General features: G+C 37.5%; 1 protein-coding gene across 7 annotated transcripts in view; it reads right to left on the bottom strand.

Annotated features, from left to right (window-relative positions):
* CD36 (CD36 molecule (CD36 blood group)) overlaps positions 1–15814 on the bottom strand; it is a 77068-nt gene that overhangs the window by 55833 nt on the left and 5421 nt on the right. The gene's annotated exons all lie outside the window — the stretch shown is intronic.

Genomic DNA, 15814 nt, shown 5'->3' with positions numbered 1-15814 from the left:
CAAAGAATATTGATGACATACATCCTCATACACTCACATACTGAATTAATATTTATCACATGGTCACTATGTGCTCAGAACTCTGCCACAAAGTGGAAGAAAATGTGACCCCTACTGTGAGGATTTCTATAATGTACTTCAAATACTTTGATATATATTATTGTGTATATATGAGAGTTTGGTATTTTTAGTCTACTTTCATGAAGTGGACAGTCACCCTGGTCGAGAACATTCATTCTAGAGCTGGTCCCTAGCCTTTAATAGAAGTCCAAAATTTAGTTATTTTTTATCTCTTTAGAACAGAAGATTGGTATAATAAATACTAACAATGAGATCTTCAATAGAGAAATTAATGGTATCAGAGATTTATGAACCAGCTAGAATTATTACTAGATAAGTCTCTACTTTTACATAATAGAGTAAAAAAAAAAAAAAAGTCTACCAAGGACTGTTGTCTAAAGTTTAGTTCAGAGATAGCCTGTTGTCTAGCTATAGATTTTAGAGCATTCTTGGTTATTGAAGTTACCAATATTTACCAAGACAACCCAATAATGCTGTCTGTCCAAATTGGTCTAGGTACTTAAGTGTTGCTAGGTAGTTTCAAGGAGTTCATATTCTAGAGATGCAGCTTATACACAGAGGACAATTCTTTATACAAATGCATGGGTAGAAGACCACAGAATCTCCTGGACTAATAGGAAATGCACATTTGTTCGGATATAAATAGCTGTGACTCATAGTTTAAGGAACTTTCCCCTACTTCTGTGTAGAATACATTTCTTCTCTTTCCTTTCTTATTTTCTCACTGCAGACATCTAGTCCTACAAATGAGGGTTCAGAGACCCCCAGAGTTACAAACACTTGTTCTAAATCATCCTAATGATTATTTTTAAAAATGTAACTAGAATATTGCTTTGTTTTGCTCTTTTTTCTGTGTCCACTTTTTATCTCTTTTTAACACCTTTCTCCAAGTTCTGCTGTAATGTTTGAGACAGTATTGCTTTGATTTTTGGTGGATGCCATTATTCTTCTTTGTTCTCCTTCAGCAATGCTAGTAAGGTAAGATTTTTCTTCATGGTCTCTTTGCAAGCCGGGGACCCTCGGCAAGCCATGCCCCACCTGGGCCTCTCTTGGCCACACTGGCATGTCCCAGCTTATACCAGCATTCAGCGTTTCCCAAGCTCTTGTCTCGTGCCCCAGAAGAATGAGGATATGGTGAATATTGAAGGGTGAGGAAGACAGAAAATAATTTTATTGAGTGATGGAACAGCTTTCAGCAGAGAGGAGATGCAGGGGTGGTCCCCCCACCTGAAGGTGGGAAAGTCCCCCATGTGGCTGGGTATGGGGCCTTTTACGGACTCAGAATGGGGAGTGTATGCTGGTTGTAAAAAAGGTTAAAGCAAAGACACCACTCAAAGGTGGGCACGACAGTGTGAAAAACCAATTTGGAAAGGGAAGGTATATATAAAATAGGTGAAGGGTGGGGATCAATCAGAGGAAAGCACGCCAAACAGGAAGACAAGTTCTCAATGCAGTCTGAGGGTTTAACTCGTAGTGTGGCTTTCAGGCTTTAAACTGTCTTCGGCTAGAGGTGGGATTTCAGTGGGGACCTGCCACTATCTGCCTAGGCATTTGGCTGCCTCTTGCCACTCTCGCTAGTTAACTTAATATTAAGCTCTTGGATAACTAGAATAATACCTCTTTTTCATTTCCATACACTGTTACTAGTGGCCTGTTACTAGTATGAAGTTAATTTTTAAAATGATTTTGATTCTCTAGTGTTCTTTGGATTTTTTTAAAAAAATATAAATGACCTTTAAATTATTTGAATTATTAGACATAATACCTTATTTTTGTTCTAAAACATTTATTTATTTTGTCCCTCACATGTGAGACAACTTGAAAAATTCTATCAAATGATACAGAAGGGGACAAATATTTATTCACCTATTACCACGAGTCAGCTATCATGTTAAATGCTTCCATGTATTATTTGTCCCAAAGCATTCTATAAATTATTGCTAGTCACATGTTTACAGATGAGATAACACTAGAAAATGTTAAGAAAATTAGATAAATGTAAACATGCCCAGAATATAGGCATCCTCTGCAGATACTGGAAGTTTGGTTTCAGACTGCTGTAATATAGTGAATATCACAATAAACTGAGTCACACAAATTTTGTTTCCCACTGCATAGAAAAGTATGTTTACCCTATACTATAGTCTATTAAGTGTGCCATACCATTAAAAAATGTACATACTTTAAAATACCTTATTGCTAAAAAAAAGCTAACAATTATAATAATCTTTTTGCTGGTAGAGAATCTTGCCTGGATATTGATGGCTACTGACTGATCTAGGTGGTGGTTGCTGAAGGTCAGGGTTGCTGTGGCAGTTTCTTAAAATGAGACAATAAAGTTTGCCACATCACTTGGAAAAATTGTTTGCCTTTTCTATAGCATGCAATGCTGTTTGATAACATTTTACCCAAAGTAGAACTTCTTTTAAAACTGGGACAATCCTCTCAAACCCTGCCACTGCTTCATCAACCAACTTTATGTAATATTATAAATTCTTTGTTGTCACGTGTGGTGTTATGATATATATTGGTTTTTGTCCACCTTTTCTGGTTCTTATTTCCCTTAACCCTAGTTACAGACTTTTTGTTATCATGTATATCAGGCCTCAGAAAACAGAATCTCCCTCTAGCCCTCCTTTCACTTGCCCCAAGGCAGGACCCTAATCTTTCCCCTCCCTTCTGATTGTTAGTCTCAAGACTCTCCCCAGACAGGATCCCACCCTACATCCTGGGGGAAGGAATGCTGAAGTCAGGAAGCTTCCATAAAAACTCAAGAGGACTGGGTTTGGTGAGCTTCTTGATAGCTGAATGCTTGGAGGTTCCTAGAGGGTGACATGCCAGGGAAGGCATGGAAGCTCCACACACCTTCCCCCATACCTTACCTGATCCATCTCTTCATTTGTATCCTTTATAATAAACTGGTAAACATAAATAAGCATTTCCCTGACTTCTGTGAGCTGCTTCAAGCAAATTAATCAAACCCAAAGAGGGGGTAATGAGAACCCCAACTTGAAGCTTGTCGGTAGTCCTGGAGACTTGGACTTGTGACTAGTGTTGAAAGAAGGGGGCAATCTTGGGGACTAAGCTCGCAACCTGTGGGATCTAACTATTTCCATGTAGATAGTGTCGGAACTGAGTTGGATGACATCCAGCTGGTGTTTGCTGCTTGGTGTGTGTGTGGAAAACCCCCACACTTCTTGTCATCGAACTCTGCTTTTGTGATGATTGTTGTGGCATGAGGCAGAGGAAAAACATGGTTTAGAAAGTTTTTCCCTACACATCATGTCAACAGTGTTCATAGCATCTTCACCAGGAGATTTCATCTAAAAAAAAACAAAAACAAAAACACTTTCTTTGCTCAATTAGAAAAGCTACTTCTCCTTCACTGAAGTTTCATCATGAGATTGCACCAATGCAGTCACATCTTCAGGCTTCACTTCTAATTCTAGTTTTCTTGCTATTTTCACCACATCTATAGTTATTTCCTTCTCTGAAGTCTTGTAACCCTCAGTCATCCATGATGGTTGCAATCAACTTCTTCCAAACTCCTGTTGATGTTGCTATTTCAACCTTTCCTATGAATCACAAATATTATCAATGGCATCTGGAATGGTGAATTACTTTCAGTTGGTTTTCAATTTACTTTGTCCAGATCCATCACATGAATTACTATCCATGGAAATTATAGCCTTTTTTTTTTTTTTTTTCTGTTTTGAGACAGAGTCTTACTCTGTCACCCAGGCTGGAGTGCACTGGTGCAAAATAGGCTCACTGCAATCTCTGCCTCCTGGGTTCAAGCGATTCTCCTGCCTCAGCCTCTCGAGTAGCTGGGACTACAGGTATGTACCATCATGCCTGGCTAATTTTTGTGTTTTTAGTAGAGACAGAGTTTTGCAATGTTGGCCAGGCTAGTCTTAAACTCCTGACCTTAAGTGACCACCCACCTCCTATTTCTTAAGTAATAAGTCTTGAAAGTCAAAATGACTCTGATCTCTGGGCTATAAAACTGATGTTGTGTTAGCAGGCATGAAAACAACATTAATTTTATTGGACATACCCATCAAAGCTCTCAGATGACCAGCTGCATTGTTAATCATCAGTTGTATTTTGAAAGAAATCCTTTTATCCTGAGCAGCAGGTCTCAACAGTGGGCTTAAATTATTCAGTAAACTATGCTGTAAATGGATGTGCTGGCATCCAGGCTTTGTTGTTCCATTTATAGAGCTCAAGCAAAGTAGACTTTGAATCATTCTGAAGGGCCCTAGGATTTTTATAATGGTTGTAAGCATTGATTTCAATTTAAAGTCACCAGCTGCATTAGCCCTTAACTAGAGAGTCAGCCTGTCCTTTGAAGGTTTGAAACCAGGCATTGACTTCTCCTCTCCAGCTATGGAAGTCCTAAATGGCACCTTTTTCCAATGGAAGGCTGTTTTGTCTGCATTGAAAATCTATTGTTTAGTGTAGCCACCTTCACTAATGATCTTAGCTAGATCTTCCAGATAACTTGCTGCAGCTTCTTCACTTGATGTTTTATCTTGCACTTTTATTTTATGGAGACAGCTTCTTTCCTTAAACCTCATGAATCAACCTCTGTGAGCTTCACACTCTTCTTCTGCAGCTTCCTCACCTCTTTTACTTTCACAGAATCGAAGTGAGTAAAGACCTTCCTCTGGATTGGGCTCTGTCTTACAGGAATATTGTAGCTGATTTAATCTATCCAGACCACTCAAACTTTCTCTATATCAGCAATAAGGCAGTTTGACTTTCTTATCCTTTGTGTGTTCACTGGGGTAGCACTTTTAATTTCCTTCAAGAACTTCTTCTTTGCATTCACAACTTAGCTAACTGTTTGGTGTCAGAGGCCTAGGTTTCATCCTATCTTAGCTTTCAATATGCCTTCCTCACTAAGTTTAATCACTTCTAGTTTTTTTATTTAAAGAGATGTGTGACACTTCCATTCACTTGAACATTAGAGGCCATTGTAGGGTTATAAATTGACCTAGTTTCAATATAGTCATGTCTCAGGGACTACGGTGGCTCCAGGAAAGGGAACAAGAAAGGGGAACAGTGTAGCAGTCAGAACACAAACAATACACAACACTCTTTAAGTGTCACTATTTTCACAGTATTACAAATGGCAAAAATGATGCTCTGTGAGGTTAGCTAAATTGCTCAAAGTCAAACAGTGCTGAGCTAAGAGTTAAATGCTGGCTGCTGCACTCAGACCCTGAATGCAGGGTCTAAATATATATATCACACTATAATCTATTACTATCCATATGAAACAGTGTAAAAAAAACCAAAAGCATTTATGAAATTTATAAAATTTCTCCTAACAATATTCATGAAAGAACTGTACTGTGCATGACAGAAAATAGTAATCATCTTTACATAAATGGAATAAAATTCTGTCCTAAACTAAGTAATTTTTCCAATGAATTTAGGCATGACCAACTTTTGGCACTTTACTATCTTATCAGTCTGACCTTTCTCTAATGACAAACCCCTAGAAGACCGCAGCACAGATGTAATTGAAAAGAATATCATAGTCAAGTGAGAAATAGAAACTTCAGCATCCAATGTACGTTTGAAGAGCTTGTTTTTCTCACAACAATTTTTTTTTTTTTTTTTTTGGAGACACAGTCTCGCTCTGTCGTTCAGACTGGAGTGCAGTGGCACAATCTCAGCTCACTGCAAGCTTTGCCTTATGGGTTTAAGCAATTCTCTAGCTTCAGTCTCCCAAGTAGCTGGGACTACAAGCACCTGCCACCATGCCCGGCTAATTTATTTATTTTTATTAGTGATGGGGTTTTGCCATGTTGGCCAGGCTGGTTTCAAACTCCTGACCTCAGATAATCCACCCACCTCAGGCTCCCAAAGTGCTGGGATTACAGGTGTGAGCCACCGTGCCTGGCCCTTCACAGCAATTTTACTTTTTAAAAATTATTTTGAGGATACATATATTTTATTTTTTTTTTAACTTTTAAGTTCAGGGGTACACATGCAGGTTTGTTACATAGGTAAACTGTGTCATGGAGGTTTGTTCTATAGATTATTTCGTCACCCAAGTATTAAGCCTAGTACGCATTAGTGATTTTTCCTGATTCTCTCCCTCCACTGTCTACCCTCTGAAAGGCCCCCATGTGTGTTGTTCCCCTGTGTGTGAGGACACATATATTTTAATTTTCAAAAATTGAACTCATGTAAATTAGAATAGGACCTACTATGACAGAATTTACTTCCACTCTTTCCACCTCATCTCTCCTCACTGAGCTCTGATTTTGTGTTAGATATTTCATGTCTATGTGATTATAAAACCTCTCCCAAGCTACAGAGGTTGAATATTGATTAGTTTTAGCCACAATTCTCCTTGATAATGAGATGTATAGCAAGCATATAACAAAATGCTGACACTGAGGCATAAAAACAAGTCAGCTACAGAGCTGTAGTGATAGTTTTCTGTTTTAAAAGACTGAAACAAGACAGAAACTTGTTTCTTACTGTTGTTAGGCATTGTTATATAAAGACATGATCCTTACAATCGCCGTAGCCACTTTGCACTTGTAGGGTAACAGTAAGAAAAACCAACCTAGAGCCCTATGAATTAAGTAATATCAGTGAGCCTAAGGATGATTCCAAGCTGGTTAATTCAGTCTGTTGACTCCTTATTATATGAACAAAATAAAAAGTACCCAAGAAACTGCTTCTTTTGGACTTTGTTACTTGCAGGCAAAATCATCCCAACTGATAACAACTGGAGACTTAAGAAAATGTTTGAGATTTATTTTCATAGTATTTGTCAAATAATAACTTTCCTCTAGAGAAATCACTTTAAAATACTGGACTGTCATACCATCTTGATAACACAATTATCTGCTCAAATTGCGTGTGTGTGTGTGTGTGCGTGCAGGCACACACACACACACACACACACACACAGATGGTCCCCAACTTACAATGATTCAACTTACAACCCTTCAACATCACAATGGTGTAAAAGCAATATACATTCAGTAGAAACCATAGTTCAATGCTAGATTTGATTAATTACATGACATAGTCCACATTTTATTCTAAAATATGCTCTGTATTAGATGATTTTGCCCAAATGTGGGCTAATGTAAGTGTTCTGAGCACATATAAGATAAGCTAGGCTGAGCTATGATATCCAGTAGATTAGATGTATTAAATGCATTTTTACAATGATATTTTCATATTTTTAACTTACACTAGCTTTATTGGGATATAACCCTAACAAAAAGTCAAGGAATATCTATAGAATCAACTCTAAAGAACAAAGAAATACAACAAGATCTCCTATTGCCTGGAAAGATAGATTTCTTTAAAGGAAGAAAGTGTTATCTGTTAAGGCTATAAAATCAAATCAAAATTAAATCAAAATTCAAAATAAAATTAAGTCCAAGCTTCTATCCTTCCTAAAAACAGAATTATCCTGACAAATGAAAAGTGAACTATAAAATTAACCAATCTGAAACAAAGAAAGCTATCATGGAAACCAAGAAAGACTCTTCCATTTGTTTTGGTAAGACTATTAGAGAAAACTCCAAGAGTTTTCATGAAGCTTCCCGCCTTAGAATATTTTGGGAGAAATTCTGAAGAGTAAAGAAATAATACAACTTCAAGTTGTGAGTTAAGAGAAAGGAAACGTACTAAAGAACTAACTTATTCATTCAAACACTAACTGACCTTTAATCATACTCCAGGCTTTGAGCATGGCGCTGGCATGCAAAGATGAATAAAATATGGTCTTGAATAGATTGTGATTTTGTTGATAGGAGATAGATTGTAAAATAACAGAAGGGCTTCAATGGATGAATAGATATTTTCTAATCACAGAAGATGGAAAAAGGGCAATAGAAGCAGAAAGAACAACATGCATAAATTCAGAGGCAAAAAGGAAGTGATATGCTTGCAAATGTACAAAAATGGTTTTCAGGGAAGTTGCAAAAAGTGAGGAAAACAGGTGGATACCAGACCTTGAAGCCCCCTGCATGATATTCTAAGGAGATTGAACTTTATTCTGTAAGCAGAATAGAACAATTAAATAATTATAAGTTGGAGGAGTGACAGGATACGAGTTTGTACTTTTAAAAGGTCACATGAAAAGCAATAAATTGGGTTGAGAAATTCAGCTCGATGACTAATAAATGAATGCGGGAAAGACACAAGGCCCTGAACTAAAACTTGTATTCAGCCTGATGAAGGGAATGTGGTCTCATTCTAGGCAGAGTTTGGATTAACGGGAATGTGCTTGCAGTTTGTAGTGGCAGCCATGGCAAAGAGGGCTGTAAAACTGGAAAGCAAGCCCTAAGAGTCATTATCACAAGTGGGAGAAATACTTTTGGTTAGCTTTCATCTTGGTGGCATTCTGGAACATAACAGCAGGGGTAGACAGAAGAGAAGTAATGAAAACTGGATACGCCCCTATGCAAGCAGAGGGGAAAAAAACACAAAAGGTCAAAGGAACAAAGGACTTAGCATTTCTTTTATATTGGCATTCGTTGAAGCGACAAATACAGTATAAAGCTAACAAGTAGCAGAGCAAATAACAAGGGCACCCACAGTTTTCAACTGATATCAGGAAATATTTAATCCCCCAATTTCCCACTTCACATTATAAACTGGGGTATTGGAATTGGGGTCAGGAACTCAGATGTGGTTTCCAAGGAAGGGCAGAATCGGGGAAGTACTTCAGTGTCATGGTGGGGAATTTGAGGGAAAGATGGAGCCGCGAAGAAGAAGCAAAGATTAAGATACAGAGGGCACCCCTGCAAAAAAATCACAGACTAATGTACAAGAGACATTGATAATTTCATTTTTATTCTGGAGTCAGGAACTGGACTCAAGTAAAGAAGAACCTTACTAGGAAGAAGGAATGAGTAAACTAATTGTATAAACCTGCTTTTTAGTGAACATATATATAGATTCTCTTGTTGGCCAGTGGGTGTATAAAATATAAATACATTATGATGGTCTAAAAATGTAGGATAAAGAGTGAAAGAGAACCTATGTCTAAACCCAGTGGAAAACAAGGAGGCTCTCCAAGAAAGAATCTGGGTAGTTTTTGCAATTAAAAACAGTCACCATTGTTTCTCCACAATACGGATGTGCTCTGGAGAAACAAACATTCGATGTAAACAAAAAAGAGAATGATGCCCATTTTATTCTGGTATAATTTATACAAGTAGTTTAAGAATATCTGTGATGTGTTAAGAGTTTGTGGAAAAACATCAAGTACAGGAATATTTCTAGTAAGAAAGCTGATTGGCATTAATGCTCTTTTATTTTCATTTCAAATAGACAACTGCTGCTAAGCCGGGCATACAAAATATCCCTTTGACTTTCAGAAAAATAATAAATGTTTATCTGTAACAACTTTTCAGATAGTATTATTACAAAATATAGACACCCAAAAGCACATTAGCTAATTATATGCATTTGGTTCTGTATAAAATATACTCCAAAAGTACTATATTAACTTCCCAAGTAACTGGTAGATATTTTATATTTATTGATAATATTTACCTTTTATTACTGTTAACAAGGAATCAACTCAGTTATCAGGATCCTACTCTAATTTGACTTTTGAACTATTCAAATTTAAGAATCAAAACTGCTGACTAGACTTAAATAAACCCCATCTCTTAGGCCCCTGACAAGCATCTCTCATCCGTAAAAGATTCAAGCCTCTTTGTCCCATTAAAAGTTAAAATTTTTCACTGTGATTTTTACTTCTTAACTACAGTTTCCTGTTCAGTAAATTATTTCTGGCTCACATAAAACAGAGCTGCATGTTTTATTCCAAAATAGGAAAGATGAAGTAGGATCTTGTGAAAAGATAGACCTTAAGGAGAAAGAGAAGAATGAATATCTTTCTTGGTTTAGATGATATCTTCAAGAGTAACTAAAGGAAAAATCTCCATAAAGTAGAATCAAAGTAGCTTATTAACAAGATACTATGATAAATACAGCAGTGGTTAAAACACACTATTTCTCTTGTATTGCCTTTATCATATTTTAAGAGCAACCCTCACCTCCCTGCAAAAAGAAAAAATAGAGAAACTTAAGTTTACATATGGCACTGAAACTTTGAATTTATCATGCAGCTCATGTTTAAAAAGCATATATGTATAATGTAAAGAAAGTAATACAATTATGAATATTACAAATGTCTTAAATATTACATTACCATAAAGAAAAGATACTTTTTCTTTGTGTGACTCATGGAATCAAGTTTATTTATAGCCTTATCTCCCCTCCTCTCTCTACTACTACTTCCTCTACAGATTTATGAGAAGTTACAAAGTAGATTATTAGCATGGGATGTTTGTCAATATTTCTACTCATTTTGAATCCATATACTACCTAAATATATGGAATATTATTCAATCACAGACTTGAATCACTTACTAGATTTTTTATTTAAGCAAAGCTTATGATGAAAGTTTATCTGAATTCTTAAAAAATGCTTAGTGGATATAAAGTGTTCTCACCACAAAAATAATAACTATGTGATATAACACACATGTTAAATAGCTAGATTGAGCCCATTCCACAATGCTTATACATTTAAGACACAGTGAATACATACAATTATATCTGTCAATGTGGAAAATTAAAGAAATAAAAACAACAAAAGAAAGTATATGGTTGAATAATAGAAAAAGTCAGATTATCTCTTCTATTTCAGGTGGTATCTGGAATATCTAAATAGAAAGTTGAGTATATATATTTAACCACATTTATATAAGTTCCACAGAGGTGCATATTTTCAGAAATACTTTTTAAGATAATTCCCAACTGCAGGATTCTACAATCTGATTAGCATGCTGTTCATCTACATAGTAAGTAGAAAGACCCCTTAATTTCTTCATAAGAAGCTTTGAGTTATTAAAATTTCATTTCATTGTATTTTATATATGCCAAAGGCATAATTTTTTCATTTATATAACAAATTAGTTTTTATGGTATATGTGCAAAGAAAAGAATAAATGCCCCCAAACAATTTGTGCACATTATCATTTTTATACAGGGACTGATCTCCTGTGATTTTTCAGGTTGCTAGCATAACAGGAATGATATTTTATATTACAGGACTCAGTGTATTGAGCATATTATAGAACTTAAGAAGGACATTCAAAAGAATCTCATTTCAACAATCATCAAAGTAGTGGAAATTGGATTTCAGGTGTGCACGTTTAATTACTGAAGTAACAAAGAACTTTGTACTGTAAAGAGAAAACAGCCCATCACCCAGGAGCTGGGCTGATATTATTAGCTAGGTCTTGCTGTTTCTGGGCACAGGCCCAGCACTCACTGCTTGGCCTTGGTGTTTGTTCTGCTGAACACAAACAATTCATAGAGCATTTACTTTAGATAAAATCATTCTGTGATCATGATGAGTCAAGACAAAATGAGACCTTTTATGTCTGAACCCAAAACGATTATCAACACTGTCCAAGCCACAGATACTACACATTCCCTTCTCACTTACTATGAGTGACTCTGCTTCTTTATCAATTACAGCTTTAGCTTCAGTCTAGTCTTCCCTCCTCCAAGATTAAGACACCCAATCATAAAATTATCCTGCCTCCTGACAACATCTAATTCAGAGCAAATCTCTATTTCCTTCAGTATCACCTCCTCGACCCTCCCCAACCAACCAACCGAAGTCCAAATTCTAGAATAGATTTTTCCTAACATCTTCTTACCGGGTCACTGTCAGTTCCCTATGGTACACTTTCCTCTCTTTTCAATGAGTAATGAACTTGTTTCACTACAGGTGTGTTCCTGTTGGTCTTTGGTTAAAGAAAGGACATTGGCAGTAATAAAGCATCTAAGAAACTTGGCTCCTAACTCCAGTGCTATCAGGAGGCTCTCATGTATATGCTAGCACAATCTCTCAGAATTTTCAAGATGACTAAAGAGAAACTCAAAGAAGAAAAATTAGAAGATGCCACAGTGATAAGAAATAGGAGAGATTATTATGGGTGTGCAAAATGACACGGGACGACGATTTTGAGGTTAGGGCCTCTGTGTCATGTATGGGAGAAAAAAGCAGGCTGAGACAAGAAACATGGCCAGGTCACAACAGGGGGGCAGAGCATCTGCTGAAAGGCCACAAAACACTCAAGAGCTTTATTATAATTTTGTTCAAGGCAGGGCGCAGTGGCTCAGGCCTATAATCCCAGTGGTTTGTGGGGCCCAAGAGGGAGGATTGCTTGAGGCCATGAGTTTGAGACCAGCCTGGGCAACATAGAGAGACTCTGCCTCTACAGAAAGAAACAACCACAAAAATTAGCTGGGCATGGTGGTGTGTACCTGTAGTCCCAGCTTCTTGGGTGGCTGAGTGGGGAAGATTACTTAAAGCCAGGAGTTTGAGATTACAGTGAGCTATGATTGTGCCACTGCACTCCAGCCTGACTGACAGAGAGAGCAGACCCTGTCTCTAAAAAATAAAAAAATCTGGCTGGGTGCCGTGGCTCAGGCCTGTAATCCCAACACTTTGGGAGGCTGAAGCAGGCAGATCACGAGGTCAGGAGATAGAGACCAGCCTGGCTAACACAGTGAAACCAGTCTCTAGTAAAAATCCAAAAAATTAGCCAGGCGTGGTGGCGGGCGCCTGTAGTCCCAGCTACTGGGGAGGCTGAGGCAGGAGAATCGCTTGAACTCAGGAGCCAGAGGTTGCAGTGAGCCGAGATCACGCCACCGCCCTGCAGCCTGGGCGAGACAGAGCAAGACTCCGTCTCAAAAAAGATAAAAGATAAAAAATAAATAAATAAATAAAATTAAAATAACTGTTTAAAATATGTTCAAAAGAAGATAGAGGAAAATTCTGTTTCGCTAAAACTTCACTAAAGGAAAGAAGCCTCAGCGACTACACTGAAGATATTACTATTCTTGTATTTACAAAAGATGACATAAAAATACCATAATATTAGGAAGCTAAATTACCCTCTCAGTAAATGGCTACCAAAATAATTGTGGGTAGATTTTAAATAACTTCCTAGAAGGGACTAAAAATCTTAGGTAGTCTGAGGTGAGACATACAGAGCACAAATATAGATCAGGAAAACTCAAAATAAGAGTAATGATGATGATAATTACAATGACAATATAGTAACAATTTTTAAAAAGGCATTGTGAATACCAAGTTAAACATTTTTTATCATTCTCATGCCAATTTTTGAGAACTACTGTGATAAATCTAGTCTCATTTAATCAGCTGTTAAAAGTGAGCTGTGTGCTTTTGGATAATACTTCTCACTCTTCAGTTTCCAGTATTCACTTGCCAGTCCTTGTTTTCCAAGGAAGGCTTTAAACCTAGATCAGACCCACAGCTTGGCTCACCCCTCACAGCGCATGTCCTTTCCTAATCTTATCTTGTCCTCAACCCTTTGCCTACATAGCAAGCACCTGCTGGGTGATCATACTTGTAACCTGAACCAAATTCTCATCTGGCTCCCTTCACCAACAGATCACAAGCCAAAAGACAGGCAAATACTAACTCAGGCTTTTTGTAACTATTTTTTCTGACTCTAATACTGTATTATGTCTCCTATCAAGCTCTTGTTGTTGAAATCTTCAGATTACGTGTGAAATTATTCTGCTATCATAGTTTGAATCATCAACTTTGTTTTATTTATACATGCTTTTATTCCCCCCAATTACATTGGCAAATATTTTATCAATCAGTAGCCCTTGCAAGAGTAAACTTAAATACATTCCTAAAGTATTCTTAGTTTGGACTTCTGATTGGGAGAAAACGTGAGAATCAACAAAACAAAAACCTGACACCCCGCTTAGGTAGCTCCCAGCAGGTCTAGGAAGGCAGATTCATAAACAGACAATTCTAATAGGCCGTGACATCTACACTCAGGTAGGAAGAGTGAATGGTGAGGGAGAGAAGGTGTTAAAGGACAGTGGTGGAGGAAGTGGTTCCTTATGCCAGGACTGCATTGTACAGCTCCGGGTACAGAGTGGGAGAGGGTATAGTGGATCACAAGCATTTCCCCAAATACAGATACATAAAGAAACATACAAAATAATAAACATACAACTGGGGAAACATGTTTCAGTAAGGATTCGGTACAGTGTATGAGTTTTGGAAGAACAAGACACCAGAAAAGTGGCCACAAATGACCACAAACGTGAAGCCCTAATGTAACACATACTATACCAAACTTTATATTGTATGTGTGCCTTGATTACCTGGAATTCATTCTCTCGTGGGTTTATCTTGAAAGCAACATAGGACTACTCAAGGATTTTTAGAGAAGGAGCGCATGACAAAATTTGGGTTTAGGAGATGGCCTTGGCATCAGCATGAAGAATGGATTGGAGGGAAGGCCAGAGGACGCCTATCAAAATAATCTAGAAAGGAAATTATGTAGTTGAACTTAAAAACTGGCTATGGGGGTGGGGGTGGGAAATGTGGGAAAGATTTCAGAAATACTTAGTGGATATGGAAGATATTTAGAAGTTAGCATGAATAGCTACGGCTTGGTGACTAATTAGTTAGGTAGAGAGGAAAAAATCGTAAGTCTCAGGTTTTACGCTTGAGTAACAAGACAAAAGGAGGTACTATTAACCTGGAGGGGAAACATAGGACCAGTTTTAGGGGTGGTGTGAAGTTAGTCCTGTCAGGGTTTAATATTGACATTTTCACTAACTGGCTGCAAGATCCTGAGCCAATTTTTTAATCTCCCCAAGTCTGTTTACTCATTTGTAAAATGGAGATAACACTATCTACTTTAAAATTATTGTAAAACTTAAATAATATTTAACCCTTCTATGGAACTTACCATATGCAAGACACTTGTATGAGTATTTTATATGCATTAAGTTGCTTATCTTGAACAGTTACCCTATGAGGTAGGCATGTTTATTATCCATGTGTTACAGATAGGGAAGCAGAGGTACAAAGAAGTTTACTAACTTGCCAGAGGTCACAGAGCTGGAAAGTTAGAGATCTAAGTTTCAAACATATGCAGTCTAACACTAGAGAGTATGCCTCAACCAGTAATTTACTTCTCATTAAATACTAGGCACTTTGCATAATTATTTTTAGAGTGCTTTGCAGGTACCACATAGATAATAAATAGCTATTAAAATTTAACCATTTTATTTTAAAATAATTTGCAGGGGATATGTTATATGCATATATATTATTGAATGCTGGGATAAATTCAAGCCTAGTAAAAGACACTCATTTGGGGATTATAATTTAATTTTGAACATAAAAATGTACATCTTGAATCAGAACACATTAACAAGGTTATATGGCTCACGCCTGTAATCCCAGCACTTTGAGAGGCCGAGGCGGGCGGATCACGAGGTCAGGAGATGCAGACCATCCGGGCTAACACAGTGAAACCCCATGTCTACCAAAAATACAGAAAATTAGCTGGGCGAGGCAGCAGGCACCTGTAGTCCCAGCACTCGGGAGGATGAGGCAGGAGAATCGCTTGAACCTGGGAGGAGGAGGTTGCAGTGAGCCGAAATTGCACCACCGTACTCCAGCCTGGGCGACAGAGTGAGACTCAGTCTCAACAATGACAACAACAACAACAACAAAAAGAGTTTAGATACTTTCAGCTTGAGAACTTGACCTACTGGCATGGAGATACATGGGTCTGAAGTTGAGAAGAGTGATTGGAGCCCTAAGATGTAGATTGGGGTCTCCTCAACATTCAGATTACAGGTGAAGTCA

The sequence above is a fragment of the Homo sapiens genome, chromosome 7, assembly GCF_000001405.40.
Source record: "Homo sapiens chromosome 7, GRCh38.p14 Primary Assembly".
Classification (NCBI taxonomy): domain Eukaryota; kingdom Metazoa; phylum Chordata; class Mammalia; order Primates; family Hominidae; genus Homo; species Homo sapiens.
The sequence above is the reverse complement of the archived record's forward strand: the minus strand, read 5'-3'. Positions and strand labels throughout refer to the sequence as shown.